This window comes from Homo sapiens, chromosome 5 (assembly GCF_000001405.40).
Source record: "Homo sapiens chromosome 5, GRCh38.p14 Primary Assembly".
Taxonomy (NCBI): Eukaryota; Metazoa; Chordata; class Mammalia; order Primates; family Hominidae; genus Homo; species Homo sapiens.
In genome coordinates, this window is record NC_000005.10 from 167555893 (window position 1) to 167583217 (window position 27325).

Here is a 27325-nt window from a genome sequence, read left to right on the forward strand (position 1 = left end):
GACATGATTGCAAAAAGAAGATAGAAGAGAAAGGAACCTTGCTGTTTTCATTAAAGTGAGCCGCATTAGTTCTCAAATCCTATGTTTGGGGAACCCCTAATGGTTAAACTTACACAAGCAGAAGGAAAATAAAATGCCCTTATTAAATTTCCTATGAACATGTTAAATATTTTCCCTTTCTCCTGTCTCCATGTCTTAGACTTTGAGTCATTTTGCCTCTGTCATCTGTTTCCAGCTCAGTTGAGTTACAACCAATCAGATATGAGGAAAATTAGATTTTAATGGAATATTTGATTTTCATTGCTTAATTGATTTAATTGCAAGTTTCTATTTCAGACTGGAAGAAATGCAAAGATTTTCAGTCAAATGTAGAAAAGCTCTCATTTTTCTGTGTTCAACAATGACAAACTTAATTCAATGGTAGCCTGGATTCTAAAACTTTAGAGGAAGGCAATAATGGCATCTTTCTGAATTGTTATTCTAAGTCTACAGTTCAGTTTCTCTTTCATATATATGTATGTATACTTACATATATATATATATATATGTATCTGTCACATCAAAATTCAGCGTGTACGTTTGCTTATTCTAGTTGTGTTGATTTTGATTTTGGGTTATGAATTTTTGTTTGTCAGAGGAAACAATACATATGTACTTATGTAAACCCACACTTTGTTTCCACGGGCACTTAATGTCACCAAATATTTCCTTTTGTTGCTAGGTAGAAAGACAGCTTAGAGAGATAGTTCTCTAGCCACCATAGTAGGTCAGTGGACTTTTCTGAGCTCGCTTAGACCACCCTTGATAAGTAGAATTCAGTCTGTGTCAATGCTTTTGATGTATACTGGCTGCCTAGGACATTGGGGTGAGAAGAATCCCTGGGAGAACATGCAAGGCTCATTCACCAATGCGGAGTGCAGCAAGTACCCCCCATCCCTTGGTCTCACTTGTATTTTAGGTGCCCGTGTTGATCACAGCATCTCATTTTCCAAAGGGTCTTCTCACAGCAGTGGGACAGCCCTGCATGTTAGCACAGTTTCTGAATTCTCTGAACTCCTTATAATGTCAATTAGGGATTCTACCAGAATGCACATTTCTTTATTTAAAATGTTAAGTTTTTTATTGTTTGTTTTTAATCTTTATTGGCTTTGGGAAATTTAAGAGTTTTCTAATCATTTTGAGAGAGTTTTCTAATCATTTTGAGAAAAGCGTGTGTGCGTGTACACAGACCATTGGCATGTGAAAATTTAATTATGGATGATCCATATTTGAATTTCTTATCAAGTACCTTATATGCTTCTTTGTGAGTTTTTAAAATGTGGAATATAATTTTAATATAAAAATCTTAGCCTATTGTGTGGTTATGTAATTTTCATCAATATTCTTACCATCACGATTGTCACCATGATGCCTATTTTGTGGAGACTTCCTCTTCTACAAGGGTAGGAAAGCAAAAAAGCTAAGAGCATGAGCTCTGGAGATGGATTGCCTGTGTTCAAATCCCAGCTCTGCCAGTGACTCATTATGAAATTTCAAGCAAGTTACTTTTACTCTCCTGCATTTATTTTCCTCATTCATAAAATGGGAATAATAACAAGGCCTAGCTCACAAGGTTATGTAACAGTTTAAAGAAGCAATAGATTTAAAGTGCTTGGAAGCATGCCAAGCATGTAGGAAATGCTTGATAAGTGCACTGAATACTACTGAGGTTATAATATGAGCCCGATCCTAGCCTGAGACTGTACGTGGCTTATTTCACTTACCTCAGTCATACCCAGTAGGGGGGTGATTCTGCCCTCCAGGGGACATTAGACAATCTCTAGAGACATTCTTGATTGCCATGGCTTGCAAGATGCTACTGGCATCTCGTGGATCCAGGGAGGCTGCTAAACATCACACAGTGCTCAGGACTGTCACCCACAAGAGAGAATTATCTGGCCCAACATGTCAATAGTGCTGAGGTTGAAAAAAATCTTGATTTAATCCATGAAGTAGGAAATGTTTACATTATACTCATTTTACAGAAGAGAGTATTTGAACCTTGGAGAAAATATAACTTCTCATATTGCAGATTTAGTAATTGGAACTGCTGTGCAACAGGCTTTTGGAGCAGGAGGGTTTATTTTGTTTTTAAGATAATTGCATAGAAGATCTTCTAAAAGCCGTGAAACAGAAACCTTCAGTGCTTTTTGGAAGCAGAACCACTAAGGAATGGGTTCAAGCCCGTCAGAACAGACACTGTCTGGAGTGTGGCATCAGGATGCTAGAAGCTCCAGCCTGTGCCTGGTCTGACTTTGAATTTTCTGGATCCTGGGGAAGCCCATGAGGCTTGGCCACAGTCCCAGGGTGGTGGTAGACACTCCCAAGGCTGAGGTAGGCTTTGTCTTCCAATAGTCACAGAAGTTTATTTTAATATTTTAGCAACTGGTTTGATCATTCCTGAGAAGTACTTCAAACACATAATTTCACAGATATTGTTACTTAAGATGAGGCCAAATTGAAAGTATAAAAACTGAAATTGTCTAAAGCAAGGGTCCCCAACCCCCCGGCCACAGACCAGTAGTGTTAGGAACCCGGCTGCATGGCAGGAGTGGCAGGTGAGTGAGCGAAGCTGAGCTCCACCTCCTGTCAGATCAGCAGCAGCAGCATTAGATTCGCATAGGAGCATGAACCCCATTATGAAATGCGCATGCATGGGATCTAGGTTGTGCATTTCTTATGAGAATCTAATGCCTGATGATCTGTCACTGTCTTCCATCACCCCCTGATGGGACCATCTAGTTACGGGAAAACAAGCTCAGGGCTCCCACTGATTCTACATTATGGTGAGTATGTAATAATAATAGAAATAAAGTGTACAATAAATGTAATGTGCTTTAGTCATCCCGAAATCATCCCCACCACCACCATCCACTGGGTCCATGCAAAAATGGTCTTCCATGAATCCAGACCCTGGTGCCAAAAAGGTTGGGGACTGCTGGTCCAAGGGAAAAAAAAAAAAAACTGAGTACATATCAATTAGGTACAGTCAGCAGTAAAAATCATCAAGGTATAACACAAATGATTCATGAATGGGGAACACTTTATCTCAGCTAGCCCCTGAGGACAGGAGCAACAGTGTTGATCTATACATCCCAGGGCCTGGCACATAGTGGGAGCTTAATGAATGAACATAAACTCACAATCTTACTCCATCATTGTGCAATGCAGTTTGAATGGTTGTGACACCCATAACCTCAAATATATACAATTCAGACCTCCCACTTCATATCTGAGTAGAATATGGCAGTAGTTGGTTGGTTGCACTTCTCAGCGTCTCAGCCTTTGTATTAACTATGGTCCATCTCTACATCCCAGCAAATCATCCCTCCGTTGTGTCCCCCTGCAATGTGGATGGAGAATTAGCTGAATATGCCCAGAAAGCCAAGTGACTCAAAATTCATCCCCTTCATTCTGACCCCCAGTCAAATCCAGATGTCACAAAACAGTTTGTGATCTGTCATGGTCACTGTGGACTGGGTGAAGAGGCCACAACCATTAGTGGAGATCAGTTCTCAAACCATTGCTTTAGGAATGTTTATTACAGGACTTGGTTTCTGACTTTCTGAGCACAGCTAAACAAATGGTAATGCAGTTTACAGTCCTCAGAACCATCATTTTAATAGTGATCTTCACTGGATTAAAAAAATCTCTTTTTGTTCTTGGCCTCCCACCTGTAGTTTTTTTCCTTGTTAAATACATGCGTGGCCCATTGCAGCTCCACAGCCATTCATATCTCAGTGCCTGTAGGGGTGGGAGTAAGGGGGCATGGAGATATTTCTTATGTATCCCATATCATAGTATTTTGGAGAGAAAGAAGTCTTCTCTTCCAAAAGTATGAAACTGTTCATGAGAATATAATGTGTTTGCAGAAATCAGTTATGTTCAATGGGTAGGTGTTTTCGTGCTTCAAATTAATATCTGTCCTTTAAAAATAGCAGATGTTTAGCTGTATATGTGGGTGGTCGACAAATGCAGGCACTCCACATTTGCTCCAAGTGCAGGGCTGACAGACAAGGGTGGCTCTCACGACCAAGGCAATCCCCACCCCTCCTCTCACCCCTCCCACTCTGTGGCGATGCTTCCTTGGCATCTCAGATCCGTACTGTTGTGCCTCACTTCTCAAATGCATGGAAGCTACACTTCCCAGCACAGTAACAGTGACCTGCTTGAAGTGAGGTCTTCAGACCAGTGCCATCATCACCCAGGAGCTGGTTAGCAATACAGAATCCCAGGCTCCAGTCCACATCTACTGAATCAAAACCTGCATTTTAACACCACCCCAGGTGACTCTTGTGTACATTGAAGGCTGTGGTCCCAGAGCACTCCGTCTCTAACCTCTTTAGTCTCTCTTACTGCATTTTACCTTTTATTACCTATTTCTGTATTATACTCTTCATTTTGCATGCGACAGTTGAGGGCAAGCATCGCCTTATTTTTTTTTCTTAGATCTGTTTAGCATGTAGGTGATTTTCCTAGCACAGTGGTACTTGATCAACTCCTGAATTTAATGCAGATATTCGGATTATAACCACAGGGAGAGTGGTAGTATGTACACCAGAAAGGGAAGAGTGCCACCTGTAAGGGAGCTCTGGGTTTAGGCATATTTGACTCTTCCACTTCACAGCTGGGCAGTCTTGAGCACATTATTTGTCTCCTCTAAGCCTCAGTTGCCATAACTGTAAAATGCAGATCATAATTGCTATCTCATAGGTTTGTTTTTAGGATCAAATGGGAGCAAACATATAAAGCAATTGGCATGGTGCTAATTGGTTCACAGAGAGCTCTCAAGAAACATTAGCTACTACTATATGAATTATCATTTCAGCCAGTAGGTTCTATACTATATCATAATTCCAAAAAGAACATCCCCACCTCAACTTTAAAAAATTACCCTCATAGCTCTCAACTGGGGTTGATTTTCCTCCCCAGGGGACAGTTGGCATTGCCTGGAGGCATTAGATTGTCATGAACTGGGGAGAAGGTGGGCTGTGTGTATCTAGTGGGTAGAGTTCAGGAATGCTGCCTAACAGCCCGTGATGCACAGGACAGCCCCACAACAAGCCATGATCCAGCCCAAAATGTCAATCATGCCAGTTGAGAAATCGCTATTATCCACAGAGGAACTGAGGTAAGCAAAATCACCATTTTTTCTTGAGGATTTAGGTACCTTGGTATATTCATCCTCTCAAATATTAATGTTGAGCCCTTTTGTCAGAATCCATCTACTATGAGGCAAATCATTTCCTTTGGTACAGAATCACACCCTGGAAAACCTGATGCAACCTGATTAACCTATTAAAGGTCATAAAACAATAACAATTACATTGCACATTTCATTCTTTAATATCAAAGAGAGCTAGGTTCTTTGAAATGTAAAACATCATAAGTGAAAGGATAGGGCCTGCAATTCCCCCAGGAGCCCAAGGTCATTGTATAAATAACATTCTGGTTCCCCTATTAATTTCACTCCATTCTGGGATGTGCAGGAGGCCATAATTGTTAGAGGAAGAGGAGAAGGCTGAACTTTTGCTGCCCATGACGGAGGTCAGACAGTGTAACTGTGGTCCGTGGTTCAAAACAGTTGCCCAAAATGGAGCAAAATAAATGTCCTTACAGCTGGTAGAAAGATCAAGATGAAACGTCTATGTTGTTTTTCCCTTAAAAAATCAGAGATGCTGCAAGAGCTCCCAAGAAGGTATTAATTTCCCAGGTACTACTGCAAAAATAAGGGTGAGGAGGCGAGTGTTAGGCTTTATTCCTGCTGTGAATAGATTAAGCAGACACCAATTTACACCTCATTGTTAAGAGTAACTTTTTTCTGCAAGTGAGACCACATTTACATCTTTTGTAATTAAGCTAAAGGAATTTTTTTTAATGACATTTCCCCTACCACAAATCATGAAGTAAATATTTTAAGTGAGATCAAATGCTAACATGTATACATTAGAACCGTAAAAATAAAAAGAGAGACAGAGAGACAGAGTCCTAGCGCCACCTTTCAGCTTCGTCATTTGCTGGGCTGGGATAGTCTCTGTGCCTGTTGGTGCTTTGGTTTTGGAAAAGGCCGGGTATGACTAAGTGAGGCAGTTAAAGAGATGGTGAGCGTGGAGGGATTCGCTCTTGGAAGGGATGGCTGTGCCAGCTTCCCTGAAAGCAGGAGGTATGGCAGTGAGTTAGTGAGTGCTCCCAGTCATTCAGGGCACACCATCCATCAGCAGGAGCGTGAGGCTGCGATGGCATCCATCCATCCGTCTCCTGCATGCTTTGCTTTTTGGCAATTTTCGTTTTTAGGAAAATTGAACATAGAGAGCTGTATATTAAGAGCTCTAACATCCTTTATTCCCCACACAAGAGAATCTAGTTGGGCAAAGAGGCATTTTTTCCCCCTAACAATAGAGTTTGCATGGCTGCTAGAAACAATACAATTACGGACCCAGATAATAAATAATTGCAGAACAATGGGGAGAATGAGGTGTGGGCAAGGAGGAAAATGGATGGTTTCAGATAAGATTTGCACAAAGATTGAGTTGGTGAGGTGAAGTCATCCCAGGTCACGTCTGTTCTGCACTAACTAAGGTAAATTATTGTCCACACACCTGAACTGAGAGCTGGAGGCCACGCTGCCAGCCTAGACTGTGCCTTTGTAAGATGGACCTTTTCTCCTGAGAAGAGCTCAGAATGTGAAGTATTCAAATGGAAGCCTGTGACTGCTGCTTGGCCAACCTTGTGATCAGTCAAATAGAAAATGGTGGCAAGTCATGCCTGTAATCCCAGCATTTTGGGAGGCTGAGGCGGGTGGATCACCTGAGGTCAGGAGTTCAAGACCAGCCTGGCCAACACGGTGAAACCCTGTCTCTACCAAAAATACAAAATTTAGCCAGGCGTGTTGGCAGGCGCCTGTAGTCCCAGCTGCTCGGGAGGCTGAGGCAGGAGAATCGCTTGAACCTGGGAGGCGGAGGTTGCAGTGAGCCGAGATCGCACCACTGCACTCCAGCCTGGGCAACAAGAGCGAAATTCTGTCTCAAAAAAAAAAAAAAAAAAGAAAAAGAAAAAGCAAGCCTACCACTTGTGATCTACATGTTTATGGAGCCTAAATGCCAGTGTGTCACATCCCTGGGCACATGCCTAGGTACTGTAGCAATGTTGGCTCAGTGTGCATTCTCAACTCTGATATCAGCATGAAAAGACCAAGCCTCAGATATATTTGGCTTTATTTTTAGGCTTTTCCTGAAAAAGGTGCAAGCACATCATAAACTTTGTCTTCCACAAAAAGATCAGATTTACCCTTTGGAGGCATCTTTCTCCCTGTGCCACTTGCCTTTTAAATTCAAGCAGGCTTGGAGAGTCTCCTTTTCTTCCCTTGGGTTCCTCCTTAGCCTTTCCATGGTGGCTATTCTGGTGAGTACTCGCCTCTCTTTGCTTTTGATTGTGGTTCTCACCACCTGTGAAAAGACCTTCTGATGAAATACTTCCCAAAGAACCTTCTTGACCTTCTCTTCTCCTTGACCACAAGGCTACTTCTGTTTTCTGCCAAGTGATGTCTCGTAAATCTTTGTAAGTTGCACCAACTGTGTGTCCTTACAGAGTCTATCCAATCTCAGCATTGCCATTAAATATAGAACCCAATCTGTAGCCCTGGGCACCCTAACCAGAAGTATTAATTTTATAGTTTAGCAAATACGGTAATGCACCAAATAACAACATTTCAGTCAGGGACAGACCTCATATACAACAGTGGTCCCATAAGATTATAATGGAACTGCCCTATATAGTGTAACCGTTTTTATCTTCTATACAGTGTTTTTACTGTACTTTTTCTATGGTTAGACATGTTGAGATATTAAAATACTTATCATTGTGTTATAATTGCCTACAGTATTCAGGACAGTAACATGCTGTACCGGTTTGAAGCCTGGTAGCAACAGGCTATGCCATACAGCTTAGGTGTGAAGTAGGGTTTACCATCTAGGTTTGTGTAAGTGCACTCTATGATGTTTGCACAATGACAAAATCGCCTAAGGATTCATGTCTCAGAATGTATCCCCATGGCTAACTGGTGCACGACTGTACTTACTAAGTCTATCCTATGTACCAGCCATTGTTCTAAGTGTGGGGACCAAAAAGACAACTTCTGACCCTCTTGAAGCTTACATTCTGAGAAAGCGAGTCAGACAGTGACCAAAATCAGTAAACCATATAGTGATTTAGAAGTCTTAAGTGCAATGGAAAGGAACAGAAAGGGAGGATGGAGAATTGGGGGCAAGGAGATGATGCAGTTTGATCAGGGCAAGCCCTGCTGAGAAAAAATGATTTTGGAGGAAACACCCAAACAGAGTGTGAAAGTAATCCATGTTCATGAAGAAGAACCTTTGAGGTAGAGGCCTATGCAGCTGAAAAGAGAAAAGTGAGGGAGAGATTAGTGGAGTTGACATCGGATAAATTGAGGGAAGGGCAGAGCATGTCAAGTCTTTAGAAAGTCAAGTCTTTAGGAAGACTTGGGCTCCTCTGAGATAAGGAGCTCATAGATGGCTTTGAGGAGGAGTAAGATTATCTGGCTTACATTGTAAAAGAATCACCCTGATTAGCAGAGTTGGAAATAATCAGCAGGGGATGTATCAGTAATTTATTACTAGATAAAAAATGCAGCAGAACTTGGCAGATTGAAACAAGAGGAAATGATTGTTGCTCACATTCTGGTGTGTCCAACAGGCAGTTCTTTTGGGGGACTTGCCTGTACTCACTTGTACAGTTTCATCTAGCTGGTGGGTTTCATGGGGGCTGGACTCCATGAAATATTTGAGCGTTTCCCTCCTCTTGGTTTTTCATCTTCTAGGAGGCCAGAAAAGGCTTTCTTTCATGGGGATGGCATTCTTCCAGCAGGGCAAGCCCCTATGCTCAAGAACTTCTTGTGCCTTTTCTTGCATCATGTTTGTTAATGGCCTATTGGCCAAAGCAAGTCATGGCCAATCCCAGAGTCTGGCCAATCCCAGAGTCAGTATGAGAGAGAACTATACAAGACTGTGAATACACGAAGGTAAGATACATTAGGAATCCCCAGCATAAGGAACTGCCACAGGGGCCTAAAGTAGAAATCATGGAAAACAATTGAGAGGCGCTACAAAATCCAGAAAAGAAATGGTGATAGACTGCAACAGAGTGCTAACAATGAAAGTTTTAAGAAGTACCCAAATTCTAAATATGTTTTACAGGATGACCTTATTTTTATTGTGTCAAGTCAGTAGGACAAGGCTATTAAGCTTCCAGGGATTGGTGATGGTCTTATTATGCGTGAGATGATGTCATAATATAGTAAATGAGGTCAGGGATAGGTTTCTTTTATTGCCAATAATTATTCAACGAGTTTTCTGTACAATTGTAAACTTAGCAATTCACTTAGTGCCGTGACTACACAGCACCCTGTCAATATCATCATCAGCTAATATTTATCGAGCACCCTCTGAGTACATGGTATTGCACTCACAGCAACAGAGGTGAGCTGCATTAATTCTTTCAGCCAGTGCAGGATTATTGAGTGGTTTATTACATCACTCTATTAATTGGTGCCCCAGCAGCTTCCGGAACAACATTTAGCTTCCATAATGCAATTCTTTTTCCTCTTAGAGTAGATTTAGCTTTGGTAGAATTTAACTGCACAAAGAAATGATAGGGCTATCTGCCTTTATAAATATGCTAATGTTTTTTGTTTATCTTATTATCAGAAACTTGGAGATACTGGTCCCATTTCATAGACGGAGAAGTTGAGGTAGACAGCGGTGAAGTAATTTAGCTAATGCTATGTGCTGAGATCAGGGATTGAAATTCAATCACTTTATCTATTGCACTATACTGCCTCTCAGTGGTGTATGTTATTCCCATTTTGCTCTCACACTAATATATGGTCATGAAAACACCCAAAAAGATTTAACTGGCGTCTATATTCTTTAAGGGAGTGTATGGCACTTTTCTTTGACATCTGCACAGACTAATCACTGGAAAAGTGGTTTGTTTGTTTGTTGTTGTTGTTTAAGCCCCTTATTATAGGGGATTTGTCAGCTGTTAAAATCACCACTTTTTTGTGTGAGTTAAATTCTCATCAGAAAGATGTTTTTGCTTTTATGGTACATCTAAAGTTTTAGGAACTAGCTCATGAAATAAATGATCTCATTGAGATCCCTACTTTCATTTTGTTCTGGAAACAGTTATTCACTGGCGATTGTTTTGGTTGATCATTCTTTTTGAGAGAGTTCTCTTTTTTTTTTTAATGAAAGAGTTAAATAGGGGAGCTAAGAAAACTGTGAGTGGAAGGGAGCCGTTTAAATGCAGAATTTCTTTGCAAATCTTGAAAGTAGCGCCATTAGATGTCACGTACTCTGAGATGCACTAGAGTGTACACCCTCCAGAATGTCTGTCTGTTGTAATTCCATCACATTACATATTTTAGTGCATATCTCTTCCTAGCAGCTTCCAGAGCTTTTCAGATATTCAGCATCAGAAATTGCACTGTTTTTTCCTGGATTTTACAAATAGCAACCAGATTATTGTAAAACAGAACTATCTGATAAGTAAGGTTGTGAATTGCTTTTGTGATTGTCATGGGTAAGAGCATTGAAGAAACTCGCAAACAGTGCAGCACACTGGTTCCTGTAAAAATAAAACCTGTAGCAGTGAATGCGTTTTTCTGATGAATACGTTCAAGGCTGTGATCATTGTGCAACTTCTGGTTGGATGCTTTCAAACGTTCCATATTGAGAAACATCAGTAACAAGAACCAAATAGTCCACCAAAGCCTGTATTCAACTCAATGGAGAGGAACGTAAATTCTTACTTAGAGTTTCATTGAGGCCAACTCTATTCGGTCCACCATGGGAAGCAGAGATTTAAGGTTCTCTCTTGATTTGCTTTCCATTTTTACTTTATGATAAGGTGGCTCCGCTACTTTGGTTTTCACTTAAGGGGTTGTTCCAATTACTATGCAAAACAGAAATGGAAAACAGACAAGACAGACTTCTGTTCAGCAGACAAAAACCAAAATGCCAGAACATGTTAATTAATGTGAGCAGTTTTATAAGCAAAATAATTTGTTTTAATTGGCTAAATAAGATCTGATATAATTATAATAAGCCAATAAACTAATTTCAGAAAACTATTTATATCACAAACCTTTAATCACATTATATACTCATTGCAAGTTTGGAAACGGATATAAAAATCGACCCAAATTATCTCATCTTTACAAATAAGAAAGATACATTAAGGGCTTTTTTGAAACTTCAAAGGTTATGCTCTTTTCTTATTTTGGAGAATTTCTTTTTCTTTTTGGAAAAAATATATAGGCAATTTCAGGAGCATGAATCTTTAGTGAATCAAGAAGGAAGCATTATGAGGGTGAAAAATCTTTCTTAAGAAAGCTTATTTTGTCCAAGGTAAAAGGCTTATTAAGATGAGGTTTCTTCCACAATGTTCTTTCATATCATATTCACCCTAAGGAAAAACAAACCTCGTAGAAGAGAGAGATTGTATAATTGGGCCTGAAATGACCTCCTAGAAGAGACCCTATAGAATTGAGAACTCTCTCTCTGAGGATTAGCTGCCCATGGGTCAACACAAACTGACTTCCAACTAATGTATAAACGATTGGGGGAAAACGATATGCTTCCAGAGGGCAGTTGTTAATTCTTCCTACCACAAGAATCTCAATTTGTTGGGATGAGCTAATTTTGACACCAACTTGAACACTGGTTGATGCGCAGCATGTGCACACACACACAAATACATAACAAAGTAAATAAATAAATGGCCTTTCATACAACCCCAGGGGTAAAAACGCTACAAATAAATTATGCACTTTTACATTATACTAGCTGTATTTTAACAACAGTTTTTAAAAGGCCAGGGACTGTATTATAAGCTCTTTCACATAATTTCCGAATGACAGAATTGCATGCCCATCAGAATTGCATGCCCACCAAATCAACATGTCTTTTTTAATAAGTGCATTCTAGGTACAAGGTAGTACTCAAAGGAATAGCAATATATATTGTACAAAAAAAAAAAATACTTCGCTCATGTAACCTTCAGTATACTTAAAATCTATGTGATGAAGTAAGATATAAATCAAATAAAAAAGACCTAGTAATATTAGAAGAATAACAGTTCACCAATGGTATGAGATATCCAAAGGCAGGACAAGATTAATGGGAAAATTATATGTATTAAAATGTTCTCGGCAATGGGTGCTTAGACATGGGAGGAAAGAGCATTTACTGTGAGCTAATATAATGTAGAAAAAATATTTTTGGTTGGAGAAGTATCTTATTTTGAACAAAGGATAGCATACATTTAACAAATCCTTCCATGCAAAAGGAAAACATAGGGAGATAGCAGGGTACAAAATGTGTTTGGAGGTGTATAGACCAGATTTTAAAACACTGCTAGAAATAGATGAATGTAGGCAAAATTGAATGGCTCATTCATGTATCAGACCCACATATACTGAACACTCACCATGTGTTAGGCACTGGTCTAGCTACTAGGAATATAGCAGTGAACAACAACAACAACAATAAAAACACGCTGACTTCATGAAGTTTATGCAAATATTTCAAGACAGTAAGTGTGTGACACCATTGATTATCCTAATATGGGGAGCACAGGCAGTTCTTTATCTTAGTTCTATTGTTTTTCATTTGTGCACAGACAGGCAGAGACCATGGTGTGTGTGTGTGTGTGTGTGTGTGTGTGTGTGTGTATAAAAATATATATTTCAAATAAAAGCATTTATTCAACTTGTTGAAAATTCAACAATATTGTTCATCACCATGTACACAGAAAAACATCACATAGGTTGATGGAATTTTTTATGTTGTTCCAGATTGTTTTAGTATTATATAGACTTAGCCAGAGAGAAAATAAAAGAGAACATAATTAATGCATTTACTTAAAAAGAAAGAATTAAAGGTGATTAAACGCTGTGGGTATTTGTGTGGTTAGTTCTGTCTTTCTGTGTAACCTTAAAAGGATGACTATCAGCTAATAACTTTTCCTTTTCCATGCATGGAATGGGTGGCCTGAGGGGCCCATCTTCAAGCAGAATGTAAATGCCAAGTATGAGGACCGAAATCAATGAGTATCACCTTCCTACAGCTTTTTTTTTTTTTTTTTTTTTTTTTTTTTTGCAGAGAACTGCATTTGTTTCTATCTGTGCAGCCATAGCTACATCATTCATATGTAATGTTTGTCTTTTATATTATTTTGTATAATTTTGATGATTTTCGTGGAAAACGTGATGAAAACATTTCCCCAAAAAAAGTGTTGCTGAATTTAAATGTGTTTAAAAACTTAATCCCCATGAGCATAGATGATCAAACACTCAACAAATATTTACCGAATAAGCAAGCTACTTTGTTTACAGATTGTGGGAGGTACTAAAGATGCAAAGTGTTTAAAATGTGAATATTGTTCTCATTTAATTTAAACATATATGGAAGAACGGGGCACAAACCAGAAAAGCCAAGTAATAATAAACCAATGTGGCATAAGCTAAGTCTGAATGCCTGACATGGATAAAAATAACTAGAAGGTAGGAAGACAAGGGTTAATATCCTGGCTTTGCCATTTGCTCCTTGTGTGATGTCGGGTAAGTTAATTTTGCTAAATCTCAGTTTTGTTGTCTGTAAAATGGTTCCAGCAACAGCCATTTGGTGAGTTGTTGCAAGGTTAGAAATTAGAGGCAATGATAAGTCCCTGTCATTTAAGAAGCATTCCCATTACTATGAACTATTTCATTATTGGGTAGGTGTTAGCTATATACTAGCTATTATATAATAGCTTTACATGGATTAGCTATTAAGTTCTCACAATATTTTACAGATGGGGAGAGCAGGGTTTAGAGAGTAAAAGAATTTGACCCATGTTCCACAATTAGGAAACAAATTTCAGGGTGGGAATTTGGACTTAGGACTAACCCCAAAGCCCAGCTCCTAATTATGATACATCCGAGAGCACTGTGATAGCTATGGGAATTAACAGTTTCATCAATGTAAACCAAGAAAGTCAAGGATATACTTGTGGAGGACATGTAACCTGTCCTGGTCTCTGATAAAAGATTGGAGTTAAATATGTTGATATGAAAGAGAAAAGGCCGTTCTAAACAGAACGAATAATGTACTTGAGGCTCTGAAAGGGATGCATATGCATCAGGCTGGGCGGACAGTAAGCTCTTGTGCAGTAGGGATAGAACCAGTGTTTACATGGATAGGTTGGTGTCAAACCACAGAGGCGACTGAAGTTGAGGCAAACAAATCTGCACTTGATTCTCTAAGGAATTGTGAACCTTAGATGATGTGCAAGCCGATACATAAGATAATGAAATAAAACAGACTTTCAATTGACCAATCAATAACTATTGGGAATGGATGTCATTCAGAGTGGCATTTTAAGAAGGATGAATTGGAGAAGAAAAAAAAAAACCTCTTAAAACGGCTGTTTTCAATGGCTGTGTCACGACAGTTGGGAGAAGTGTCACAATGAACAAGGCACTAATAGAAAAGTATTTGTTTGCCAAACATTAGCTAGTTTATAGATTAGGGCAGAGTCAAGGTCGTATGTAGAATAATGTCATTCTCCTTTCATTCAGATTCCAAGTGCATTCTTGAGAAGGGGAAAGGCGGTGTTACGATCTCTGGTGCAGTCCTTGCCAGAACCCTAGGAATGCCCCCTGGAATGGGTGTTGCATTTCACCGCCCTTCATGTGTTTCAGCACAACTAAAACAGCCTAAAGAAGAGCTGCATTGAAGAATTATTGCAACTGTCCAGGCAAAAGTACACAAATCAAGAAATGTCAGAGGTCTGAAAACAGTAACTTTAAGAGATATGGGGTTGGTATTTAAGTTATTGGTAATTGAATGATTGTGGTGGGGGAAGAACTGAGCCCTGAATGGCTTGAAGGATTTTACATTTTACACTGGTGAGGAGATTTGGAGAAAGGGCTTGCTTCGAGGGTGAGTTCATGAGTTGAGTGGTAGAACTTATTGAGTTTTAAGCATATTATCCAAGTGGAAAAACCCAGAGGGGAATTTGAAGAACTGTAGCTTGTAAAGAGGGTCAGAGTGGAAAGAAGTCTTTATGAGTCATCCATTTTGAGGTGATGAAATATTGTCCATGTTATCCATTTTTAAAATTTTAAAAAGCTGTTGAGTGGGTTTCCTAACAATGGAAGTTCACATTTACTGATGCACTTGCTATGTGCTGGGAGCAGGACCTACCACGGCACAGACATTGTTTATTCTTAATGACAACCCATGAAGCAGGTAGCCTTACACCCATCTTAAGATGAGGACACAATGAGACAAAATAACTCAGTCAAGGTCACACAGCAGTAGGTAGTGGAGCTGGGATTCAATCTTAGGCAGGGTAACCTGGTTCCAAAAACTGAGCACTTAACTACTGTATCATACGCTGTCATATAAGCATATGAATGTAAAGCTCTCCCACAGAGAAATAAGTCACATAAAAGTTACATTCCTGTAAGAAATATTAATATGACTTGGTCACCCCAGTATAATCACCTAGCCCCCCACCCTACTCAAGGTATCTTAAATCACACATATCCACTCCACTACAAATGATATCCACTCAGGGAACCCACCTCCTCACTAAGGAAGCGGTAAAAATAAACAACAGCACTGATAGCCATTTGTAGCTTTAAAAAAATCTCTCCTTTTGTCTGCTTTGGAGATTTCTTTTTATCTCTCATTGACAATGTTTTGCAGATGCTGTTCAATAAACCTCGGGCCCCTTCCCCTGTTTTTATTGTGCTGAAATAGTTGCGTGCTGAAATAGTTGCATCCTTGTAACTGGGTCTTTATTTTTATTGGCAGAAAATTCTCAGTCCACTTATTCCCTTGTATAAAGTAAATTTTAACTGTAGAACCTGTATCAATAATGTCATTTAAAGGAGGCTGCTTCCAATACACTCTGCAAAATGTCCGCAGAGATTTCCGGATTTCCCAGTCACCACTTCCCTCCCTGCTAGCCAGGCCTTGCAGCTCCCTTTTCCCTTCTACATCTGAGCACTCTCTGTTCTCTGGCCAGCTGCCTTCTGTTCAGCCCCTGTGTGTTCTCCATTCTCTGCTCTGCCTTAATGATAAGTAGAGTTTCATCCTAAGCACATTAGGGTGGAGGTGGGGATTACTTCTTTATTTGGGTCCAAGGGAAAAACATACCCTCCTATTGGCAAACCATGAAGAGTATGACACTTCGAGTTTAACAAGATTAAGCAATCCCTCTTTGGGCACAGCAATGTGGCCAGTGTGGGGGAAGAGAGTGTTATTCTTCTTGGACCATTTCTCATTCTATATCTGGTGGCTTACATAGGAATTCCAAATTGCAAGATGCCTAGGGTCCGGGGATATGTTGTTGGGACATAAGATAGTTGAAATGGTTGTGTACTTGGGTTTTTCTATTTTTTATGTTTCTAAAATGATAATTGTTATAAGTAGGGCACATAGAATTTACTTTCGGATATTGGAATTGCTTAATTTCGAAGAGATGGCCAGTCAAAAGCTTGGGCATCTCCTCTTCCTGTTCACTTACTACTGTTTTAGCTCTGCTTACCATGAAAGGTAAGCAGTCATTTTCACCAATAACTTATACCAAATAGTTGACCTTGGAACCAGCAATTTACATTCTTATAAAAGAGGTCACTTAGGGAATTTAACTGTGTAATCCTAGCCCCCATGTGGTAGGAGATGAGTAGAAATGGAACAAAGCTGGTGACACACCATTTGAAACAATTTGAATTGGGAAATCATTTCTTTTCGACTTCGTGTCAAAAATGGAACCTTCTTTAAAATGGTACAGGAAGGGAGAAGGATGCAGTAAAAGTCTGTAGCAATAGTGACTCAAAAACTCTGTTCTAGGACTCACGAAAGCAATCCTGTTGTCACATTTGGAGGGAAACCAGAAATAATTTAGGTTTTTCACTTTCCTAATAGCTTCTTTTCCAATACCTTTCCTTCAGACACCATGCCCTCCCTTTTATTTTGCCTTTATTAATGAAAACTAATGAAGAGAAACACCGTTTAAACTTGAACTAGGAAACACAGGTTTTGTAGTGCTAATATTTTGGTGTGGGCTCTTTTTTTTTTTCTTTAAGACAATTATCAAGACGAAGCATTTGTTTCTTCTTTTGTTTACCCATGGCAGTTTGTCAGCAGTTATGATAAGTAGAGTTCCATCTGCCAGTAAAACTACATTGCAAATTGCCGTAGAAATTAGCAGCTTTCATTTTTGCCTACATAAATAAATATGCGAAATAAATTGCACATAAATGCATCCTAAAAAATCACAGGTATACCACACAGTTAAATGCCAATCAGACAAACCCAGAGACACACTGCGATTATCTCAGTTTTCAAACCTGGGAGATACACGAATGTGTTTCTAAATGAGAGAGGCAGTGTATCATGCTCGCTGAGATAAAAACAGAAGCTGCCAGACACTGCACTGTGGCTTTATTCTGAGAATCCTTTGCCTGAAACCCGCTCTCTTTTCTTGATGTTCTCTGTCTCTCTCTCTCTCTCTCTCCCCCTCTCCCCCTCTCTCTCTCTGCTTCTCTCCCTCTCTCCTCGCTGTCTTTCCCTCGCTCATTGTTCTCTCTCTCCTCCTGCCTTTGATGCACATACGTTGTCACAATTCATTGACTCTCCTCTCTTCTCTGTTCTTACACTCAAGCCTAGCGGTGCTTTCGCCAGGCAGCAGCAGCCTCTCCTGCGAGTTTTAGGCATGTATGCAGCTCAGTTTGATCGAGCGTTCCTTTTCTGCCTTTTCACTCTTACAAAAGATTAAAAGGTGGCGTCACATTGCTCCCCTGTTCCTTCCCGCAGGAGGGACTTAAAAGGGACAACAAAAACTAATCACTTTCAATAAGCATTTTCTTGCTGGAAAAAAAAAAAAGAAAAGAAAAAAAAAGAAAGAAAAAAAAAGGCGGGGGGTGGACTTAGCAGTGTAATTTGAGACCGGTGGTAAGGATTGGAGCGAGCTAGAGATGCTGCACGCTGCTAACAAGGGAAGGAAGCCTTCAGCTGAGGCAGGTAAGCGCCGATCGGAGGGTTTGACCGAGTGGCTTAGTTAAATCTCTGTTTTCACCGTTTTGTAATTGAGAAAGGCATCCGCAGCAGAAGCCGATTTTTCAGTCGGCTTCCTTTTGTTTAACATAGAAAGTACCTGTATTAATTTTGATGAATTAGAGCATGCAGCAAATTCAATTGAAAATAGATTTGTATAGTAAATGCATTTATACTGAATGATTTCTCCTCCGTTTTATTTAAGGAGAGAGATGAGAAAGATGATTTTGATCAGAATAGCACTTTGCATTACGTTAAATTCTAAACAGCTAACGGAAAGAAAAATAATCCAATTGATACTGCTTTTGAACTCCGGGACTTAAACCCTAGGAGACAGCTGCCATTTGAAATTTTTCTTCTAACTGAACTTCTGATGTGTTATAATAATTTTTCACTGGAGGTTTTAGCAAGGGTAGAGTTTATTTAAGTCGAGCTACTGGGGTTTGTTTGGCTTGGATCTTGTGGGTGAAGCGCTTCTTATATCTCCTTAACGTGTGTCAGGTTGATGGTTCATAAATAGAGATTAAGTGTTGTCCCAAATGAAATATGAAGTTAAAACATCAGGTTAGGGCATGTTGTAGAAAGGGATCTGGTAAATAATTAGGAGAACTGAATTATGACAGTTTGAAATGGGAGTTAACTCTGGAGGTGCTGTTTGATAAACCTTTCTGGATTCTAAGCGGCTCAATAATGGAGGGGCTGATTACCAGTCTCGAGTCGGAACTTTGCATCAGGATCCTAAATGTGGAATACATATGGATTTTCATTGTACGTAGCTTTTAGAAATATGTCCCTTTTGTGTGCTATGAGAGTTGTGGATTATATTTGATGGCATGTCTCCTTTAAAGAGCTTTGGGGTGAAGCTTAAAAGGCTCATATCTATTTTAACATTGAACAAACACAAAATGCATGATCTCCCAGCACTTGATTTTTGTTGCTACTTCTGTTGTTTTAAAGTTTTGATTATGTGTTTTTAACCTCAGTCTTTGTTGATTCTGTGTTCATTGCTTCTGCTGCTAAAATGTATTGCTGACATGAAAAAACTGAGATTTGAGAAAGAAAAAAAAAAAAAACAACCCAAACCCACCTCTGATTAGCCAAGTTTCTAATTAAGGATAACAGAAATCCAGATTATATCTAAGATTTTACCTAAAAGATAGCATAGAATGTTTAAAATTCATTTTTAAATGTTTTTATGAGAAAATCTGAATATTAAAAGTACAAAATTCAGTTAAAAGAATCCTCCTCTGGAATGATATATACAAGGGTGACTTCAGTACCTGTACTAGGTTTGGTCCTAGAAAGAACTGCACTACTATGGCATTGTTGATTTCAGCGGCCACGGAAGGGAGGATATTTTATGTATTTGTCTGGAGATAAGATTTTTTTCTTCCCAAGTTTCCAAACCGGACTTGCTCCTCAATATCATACCCTGGCATGTCTCGCGTTTGCCAGACCATCTGATGGCATCTTGTGGGTGCAGCCTATGAATCCAATTTTATGAGGACATCAGAAACTGCTGAGTAGTGGGGAGTAGAGACCAAATGGACTGTGGGTCTGATCATACTTCATCATCCAGAGATAATCTCTGGTGGAAGTTCCCTGGGAAGCCCCTGATACAGGTTGGGGAGACTTAATTTTTCCTCATGGTTGAAAGAATAGGGAAAGATGCAGACAAGAGAAAAAGACACTGCTGTCGAATGTTTGATGCAATCGTGCTGGTGGTAGCATAGTGAGTTTTTAAAATCGCATCACATGTAATTTTTTTTCAGCTTAAGAAACTTTGCAGAATCTTGAAGTAGCTTTTCTCAAATTCAATCTCGTTTTTTTTCTACATCGTTTTTTCCTGCGTGAAATTTTTCTCTGACTCCAGCTACACCTAACTATTGAAAGCTGTTATTCTGCTGCTGATAATGATGATTATTTCTCAAATAAGTGGCAAGTGTTGAAGGGATGGGCCAAGAGAAATATGTTGTCTGTATCATATATGCTTTGCTTTTATTTATGAAAATGACTTCTTCCAGGTGAGGCAATGATAAATTTGAAGTTGCGACTTGGCTATTTGCCTCACCAAACAACTGTCCTTTTCTTAGAGAACAAAATAGAACTAAAGTAAGCAGAAATAATTTCATTGTAAACTGGATTGTAGTTCAGCATGTACTTTTTAGGCAGATGGTAATCAAAGCTATCCTTACTCAAACTATTTGATTCATATAAATAGCATTTTTCTGAATTTTCCAGTAGATGTTGCTGGAGAGCAAAGAAAAGAGCATTTTTTTTTTTTTTACAGGAAAAAAAGAAATGCAGTAGACTTATAAAAGCCAAGAAAAAAGATTCTTCTCCCCAAACTCTGCTGATAGCATTTTGCATAATTTGCTAATTAATGAATTATATTGAATCATTACCGTTTATGATGTTCTATAGAAAGCTATTAAAACTTGAGTTCGATTTTAAAATTATGAGATTGTTCTCTTTAGTCCCTATATATAATGTCTGTTTGCTGTGTTCCGTTTTCAAAAAATCAACTTAACTGCACATTACTATTCAGAACATTTCATCCCTGAATGCTAAAACCCTTTAACATGCAAATATGATGTCAGAGGAAGAACTGAAATAGAATACCCTGAGAAGAGTAATGATCAAACGCATTATAAAAATATGCACCAGTTGCCAACATGTAATGAAATATTAAGAAATTAAAAGCATGCAACCTCTAAAGTAATAGAATTTCATTGCTCTGAGACTGTTTTCCCACTGAATATTAAGTGCTTAATAGATCTACCCGTAAAAAACAATCGAAAACCTACATGATTTGTCACTGAAGTTCTTTCATTATATGATTTTGAAAAATTAGCCCAATAGGATTTTCCTCAGAATAGGAAATGTAATTAACATTGGATATTAAGTGTCAGATTTCCAAAGCAAAAGCTATAAGGCTTGATGGAGAAAATAGGAATGCAGAGAGCAAACATAAGCACTAGAAACTGAGGGGACCCACGCTGGAACTGCTCTGCTTGTAATCACTGTGATAAAATGACAAAGACGTCCCAGAGGAGCCCAGGAATCTCGTACCCAGACAGGAACTGATGCAATTTCAGGACCAATGACCTCTATCTATGGGAGTATTTATTTTTGGAAATGATCAATTAACTGATTTCAATAGTGAAAGGGAAGTGTATATGTTTTTTCCAATGAGAGGGGGACGTAGGGTATTACAAAAGCACTTGCAGACAGGACAAGGGTGTAACCTATGTTGGAGAGCTTTCGGTTTTCTTACTTTAAGCCGACCTAGTTCTTTGCTGGTGGATTCTTCTTTGGCATTGAATCACCTCTTTGTCAGTTTTCCTTCCTGAGGTGTGAAATGCTCCATAGGATGTTTTGATTTAACACCTATTTATTTCTCTTTTCTGGGAGGAAAAAGCTTATATTTAGAAGGCATAAGTGTCAGCTACTTCTATTTTGTAATTAATGCTCTAAGTCCACTGGGCTAGGGATGTTCCCGATTTTATTTTTATTTGATTCAAATACATTTTTTTTTGTACTTGACCCATAGTGGTTTTTTTCTTCTTCTGTCTTTAAATAAGGAAAGCTACACAACTTGGTGGGAGATTCTACTTTCTAGTAAAGTTTGTTTGTTGTTTGCCTCTTGTTCTCTTTTTTTAATAGTAGCTATCGAGCGCTGACTATATTCAAAGTACGATGAGCTAAGTGTGCCGAATTGCACCCCTAACAACAACAAAAGATGCCTCTCCACTCACTGAGAATCTGACGAAGATGCAAAATATGCGCCAAACAGCCTACTGGACTAAAAGTGCCAGGTCTTAACTCCCTCCCTTAGGAGAGCAGGGGAGAAAAGGTCGCTGCAGGTTGAGAGGACCCTGAGGAGCCTGTCTTTGAATTAGGGGTGAAATGTGAAAACACAAAATAATCCCCATCAGCAAAATCAGCGTGGGCACAGGGGGCACATGCCAAAAGGGAACAACCGATGCTAGTATGATGGAGGGTCTTGAACGGCAAGCCAAGGTATTTGATAGCCACTGGAGAGGGGTGATCTGGTAGCTTTAGGGGAGTTGCGGCTTTGGATGTGGACAGGGAAGTACTGGAATATGGGGTCCCACCATACAACACACCCTTCCCAGGAAATTCTGAAACGTCTGTCTACAGGGCATCTATTCTTCCGTTAAATTGCAGCCTTACGGAGGTATTGCTACCAGTAGCCTATATCTTCCCCTTGTAGCAATGCTGTTGAGAACTCCTGGTCCAGAGGCTGGAAGCCTGTGAATAATCTGTTGCATTAGCCTAGACTTCAGCAGTAAGGTTGAGAAACGCTGGGGAACGGAGACTGGCTACGAGAAACACCTTCGTATTATAATTATTGCAATTTCTTGTTTGTACTGCAGATGTCATGCCCTCATTAGACAGGGATTTTGTGTATATGCATTTGTTTTCATGTTTTCATAAGAAAAACCTTCACCATTCGTTGGAGATCAGACCCGTGGTTTAGAAGGTGTGATGTTCTCTCCATGCTATTTCAGTATAATCAATTAGTGTTATGTTCATCTCTGGTTTCTTGACATTGATTAGGATGGATTTTTATGATCTTTAAGGGTTTTCATCTCTCTAAAAACATATATACTTTATTTATTAGAATTAATTGCCTCTCTGAATTGCCTGTGTTGTCAGTTACTTTCTATAAACCTTGACTAACTTACCTTGAACTCTTTGACGTCTAGTGTATTTGACTGACAAGCTCAGCTGTGGAGACTACTCTAACTATATAATGGAAGTTTATATGTGAACATATAAGCTGTTTTCTTTTCAACAGAGTTCACGATGAGAAGGAGCAAAAATAATTATTAGTACAATTAAGTAAGTAGAGTGTCATGCTTTTCTTCTGTAACACGGATTTTACCAGCCTATTCAGGTGGACACGGTCACCAACATCACCTCAAAACCAAACTGTAGATGAGTGACTTTCCTTGTCCTCCAACCACTTTAATTTAATTTGTTCCATTTACTTTTCCAAGCTTTCCATCTTCCCACCATTTTAATACTATCAGAGATGGGGTGCTGCCCATGACATTCACACTTGACATTATCAAACACAAAAGGCATCACTCATGCACTTGACTGCATTACAATGGAAGGAAAAAAATAGATCCCAAAGGCTTAGAAATTATTGTCTCGTACCTTGAATGTAGCTGGATTTTCTTTTCTGTTTCCTCCAGCCTGCCTCATTTGACTGTTTTGCCACTGTGTGTTTGCAGAGGGTTCTAAAAGCCCTGCAAAAATCAGCACTCACAAATCCATAACATACACATTTTTATATTCACTGGAGATATGTGTCTTAGTATAATAGGAATTTACAATCATATCATTATTGTCTGTTATTTGTTAGGCACCAACCACATTTTGATGCAGTTCCAAAGTTGCAGCTTGCACCAGAGCTACCTTCTCATCATTGACTTCAGTTCTTCTGACGGTTCGACAGTCGTAGCCAAGCGTTGTCCTGACTCACAGATCTGTGGTCACTGCAGTTCCTTTACTATTGCTGGGCAAGCCAGAGATTTACTGAAATCCACAGTAGCTCTAATTTTTGTGTGTGTGAGTGTGGAGAATTCTTAAAGTTAGTATAAATTTCTCTGTACCTCCCTTTTCTTCCTATTCCGAGCCTGATGGTCAAAGACAGTTTACCTCTCTGCCCCCATATATAAGACAACACTTGTGACCTGAATAAATAGCATTAGATTGTGGTGAGTTTCTTCAGTCATATTACATCATGCATCACGATCGCGTGTGCTGTAAAGCTTTGTAAAACAGCCAGCTACATGATATCCTGCAGGTTTAATATACTTCTGCAGCCTTGTACTTGGGAAGGATTTCTGTAATTGGAGACAATCTAGTAAGGAGAACTTTTTAAGCCATCGGAGGCCAAAATACAAGTTTTTGAGAAATGTGCCTTTATAGGCTTGAAACTGAATGGATTACAAATTTCTCTTAACTGGACAGAATCATAATTGCCTATAGAGTACGGTCCTGATTATCCAGGGTTTGAATTTCCAGCATGGGGATTATCCAGATTTCTTCCTTGACTCCCCTGTCTTTTTCCTAACTACCTGACGTGAAACATTTCTCTAATCATTGGCACCTCTGCTAATGCTATGCAAGGGCAAATTTGAGCAGGAAAATCCGAACTAGCGAATTATCATTCAGAAGAGGGAATTATGTAGAAAAATCTGGTTTTTGTAACTATTCACTAAAGTCGACTGGATAAATTTAAATTTGGGGGGACATCTTTCTATTTACAAATGATGTTTACTGTAGCTGCATATATGCTGTTGAGAACAGCATATATGGGTTTCCTACCCAAACCCCAGTTAGTTATTCTCCACCATTCTCATTTTAGTCATTAACTGGGTGCCAATCAGTCCTTGATAAGTTATTTATTTTTAGGATTTGACCCACACACTGAAAGCCTCTTAGATACCACAAGGAGGCTGAAATGGTGAAAGAATAGGAAGTGGAGCTGGCCTTGCCAGAAACGCTGTTACTGCAGAATAGGACAGGAGTCACCAGACCACCTTCCAAGTCTGCAGAACAGGGAGCAGATTTCTGTCTACTGAATATTACTACAGAATCAAAACTTGAGGCTGGGCTCAGTGGCTCATGCCTATAATCCCAGCACTTCGGGAGGCCGAGGTGGGCGGATTGCTTGAGGCCAGGAATTGAGACCAGCCTGGCCAACATGGTGAAATCTCATCTCTACAACAAATACAAAAATTAGCCGGGCGTGGTGGCGCAAGCTTGTAATACCAGGTACTCAGGAGGCTGAGGCACCAGAATTGCTTGAACCCAGGAGGCGGACGTTGTAGTGAGCGGAGATCGTGCCGCTGCACTCCAGCCTGGGAAACAGAGCGAAACCTTGTCTCAAAAAATCAAAAAAACGGGAACCAAAAAAGAAAACCTTGATTTCCTCTCATATTCACGTACATCAGTTGTGGCTTGGACACTTTCATAATCCTGTGGTTATATCTGGCACTTTGTACCAATGTCTCTCATCAAATAGTGTACTCTTCTGTCATCTCTATTTGACAAACATACTTATTAATAATCGGTAGCAGTTTGAGGTGCTTAATACAAATTCACAAGCTGTTTCTGTTTCTAAATGTATAACATAATATAAGCAATAAAACATATGCTATATAATATAATTGACAAAATATGCTAAAAGGCAAAAAGTGGTGTTGCCTCAGTGGTACTTTAAAAAATATCCTTTTATCACTAGATTAAAACTGAGTCTGTTAGAAAGAAACATACTTGAAGTTGTTAAATGTTCAGGTGCAGTCGATGATGTAGTATAATGAACAATAGTTTTCAACCCATATTTTAAATGAGAATTTAAGCAGTAATATAGTACATAAACTGAAAATGTAAAACAACTGTTAGAAAAATCATTGACAAATCTAGTCACATGTTCTGTATGTAGAGGATTCCTCTTAGTATTCGTATTTGTGTTACATTTATATACATACATGTATGTACACACATGTATTATAGAGAATATATGTATGTGCATATATCTTTATCTATATCTATTTCCAGAGTGAGAGAGACAGAGAGAATAAAGGGGTGAATTCCTAATAAGATACAGTATGAGTACATTCCCGATAAAATATTGTGGTTTTTCCAGCTGACATTATTAATTTCCCACAATCTGACGCACAGTGTGCTATGTACCAAGGATGCCAAAATGAAAAAGACACAATTCTTAAGGAGTTTATGATCTAATCTGAAATTAGATATTATTTTCATGTTGAATTTTCAGTTGTAGATATATTTAGTAATCAAAAACATTGAGAGAGAAAAAAAAAAAATCAAGCGTTACAAAGCCATTGGAGCCCACACTAGGTATCTCTACATTTTACATGTCTTGCCTCATCAGGAGGAGAGTTGGAAAATAAATATAGGCAGGTATGATTTGGGGAAGAAGATTCTCATATAATATAATCTTGTCCCAACTAAACATAAATCTGGCTTTATGGAAAAACCAGGCTAGGGTTTCTGAATTCTCTGTTACCACTTACTGTTGATGCAGGCCACAGACCAAAGATAGGATTAGTTTGTCTGATTTTCACTCTTCTCTGAGTTCTATACAGCATTCAATCAAGCAAAGAATGTGAGGGAAAGTGTTGTCAACCTGCTTAGTATTAAACATGCACAAATAATGTTTTGTTTGAAAAGATATGTAATTGAGCATATGTTTTTAAATGAAATAGGCTTATGTGACAAAAATCATTTTATTCTTGATCTATATGGCATTTATGATGTATATGTTTTATGTGTTTATAATCACCTATCCTATGTGATTTATATACACACACATATAGTCTCTAGAGGTCAGTAGAATATAAGAAATGGGCAAAAATTCATGTCTAGATGAGACCCAGAGATCCTGGAGACCATTTTTCAAATGGTGAAATGATGATAGTCGACTAATGACATTAGGAACTGAAATCATTAATCAGTGTTAACAAAAAAGTCATGTCATTCTTGTTCCTGAAATGAATCTAATCTATTTGTTTTAAGCAAATTTCAGATAAATGAACATTTACATGGCACGAACCTTTACAGAAACCAAGCTGTAATTACTTTATTATAGTTTATTATAACAGGCTGTGATTCTCCAGAAGCTTTTTTGAGGATTTTTTTTTAAATGTTACCAGAACAAAAAGGTAATTTGTTTTTAAACACTTGACTATTACATCCAAAACACTATTTCTCTTTTAGCTGCCAATTCAGTCCCCTTGACTCTTAGAAATGAATCATTTCATGATTTATACGTTGTAATTTTATTTGTTCTTATGAACTAAGTGTCCCTGATGTTGGAAAATGTATTAGAAAATTGTGATTTATTTTATATATTAAGCTAAAATTGTTGACAGTCCAGCACTTGCTGCACAGTTGAGCATGTTTGCCAAGTTTTTCTCTGGAACATTCATGCACAAAAAGTGTAGGAAATGACATAATGTAGCCATGAACTATTTGATAGTGGAGTTGTCCGTGACTCTTACACACCATTTTATGCAAGAAAAAACAGCACAGCAGGGATTCAGATTTCATTCGAATTCGGGGATAAATGATTATCTTTTAAGTGGAGA

At 38.8% G+C, this 27325-nt stretch overlaps 1 protein-coding gene across 13 annotated transcripts in view, besides 2 other annotated features; it reads left to right on the top strand.

Annotated features, from left to right (window-relative positions):
• Nucleotides 1–27325, top strand: part of TENM2 (teneurin transmembrane protein 2) — a 1285129-nt gene that overhangs the window by 576864 nt on the left and 680940 nt on the right. For 4 of the 13 annotated variants that reach the window (XM_017009665.2, NM_001368145.1, NM_001368146.1 and 1 more), the window contains exon 1: nt 17767–18134. The exons of the other annotated variants lie outside the window; for them this stretch is intronic. In XM_017009665.2, coding sequence (XP_016865154.1) covers nt 18089–18134 — 46 coding nt within the window. In that variant the 5' untranslated portion in view covers nt 17767–18088. Of the gene's footprint in view, nt 1–17766; nt 18135–27325 lie in introns of those variants that run through there. 13 annotated transcript variants of the gene reach the window in all.
• Nucleotides 17158–17783: an enhancer, noted in NCBI's record as "NANOG-H3K27ac-H3K4me1 hESC enhancer chr5:167000055-167000680 (GRCh37/hg19 assembly coordinates)". NCBI's record gives its function as "activates a minimal SCP1, AML or CMV promoter by ChIP-STARR-seq in naive H9 embryonic stem cells {active_cell/tissue: H9 hESC(naive)}" and the evidence as "EXISTENCE:reporter gene assay evidence [ECO:0000049][PMID:30033119]".
• Nucleotides 17784–18409: an enhancer, noted in NCBI's record as "NANOG-H3K27ac-H3K4me1 hESC enhancer chr5:167000681-167001306 (GRCh37/hg19 assembly coordinates)". NCBI's record gives its function as "activates a minimal SCP1, AML or CMV promoter by ChIP-STARR-seq in naive H9 embryonic stem cells {active_cell/tissue: H9 hESC(naive)}" and the evidence as "EXISTENCE:reporter gene assay evidence [ECO:0000049][PMID:30033119]".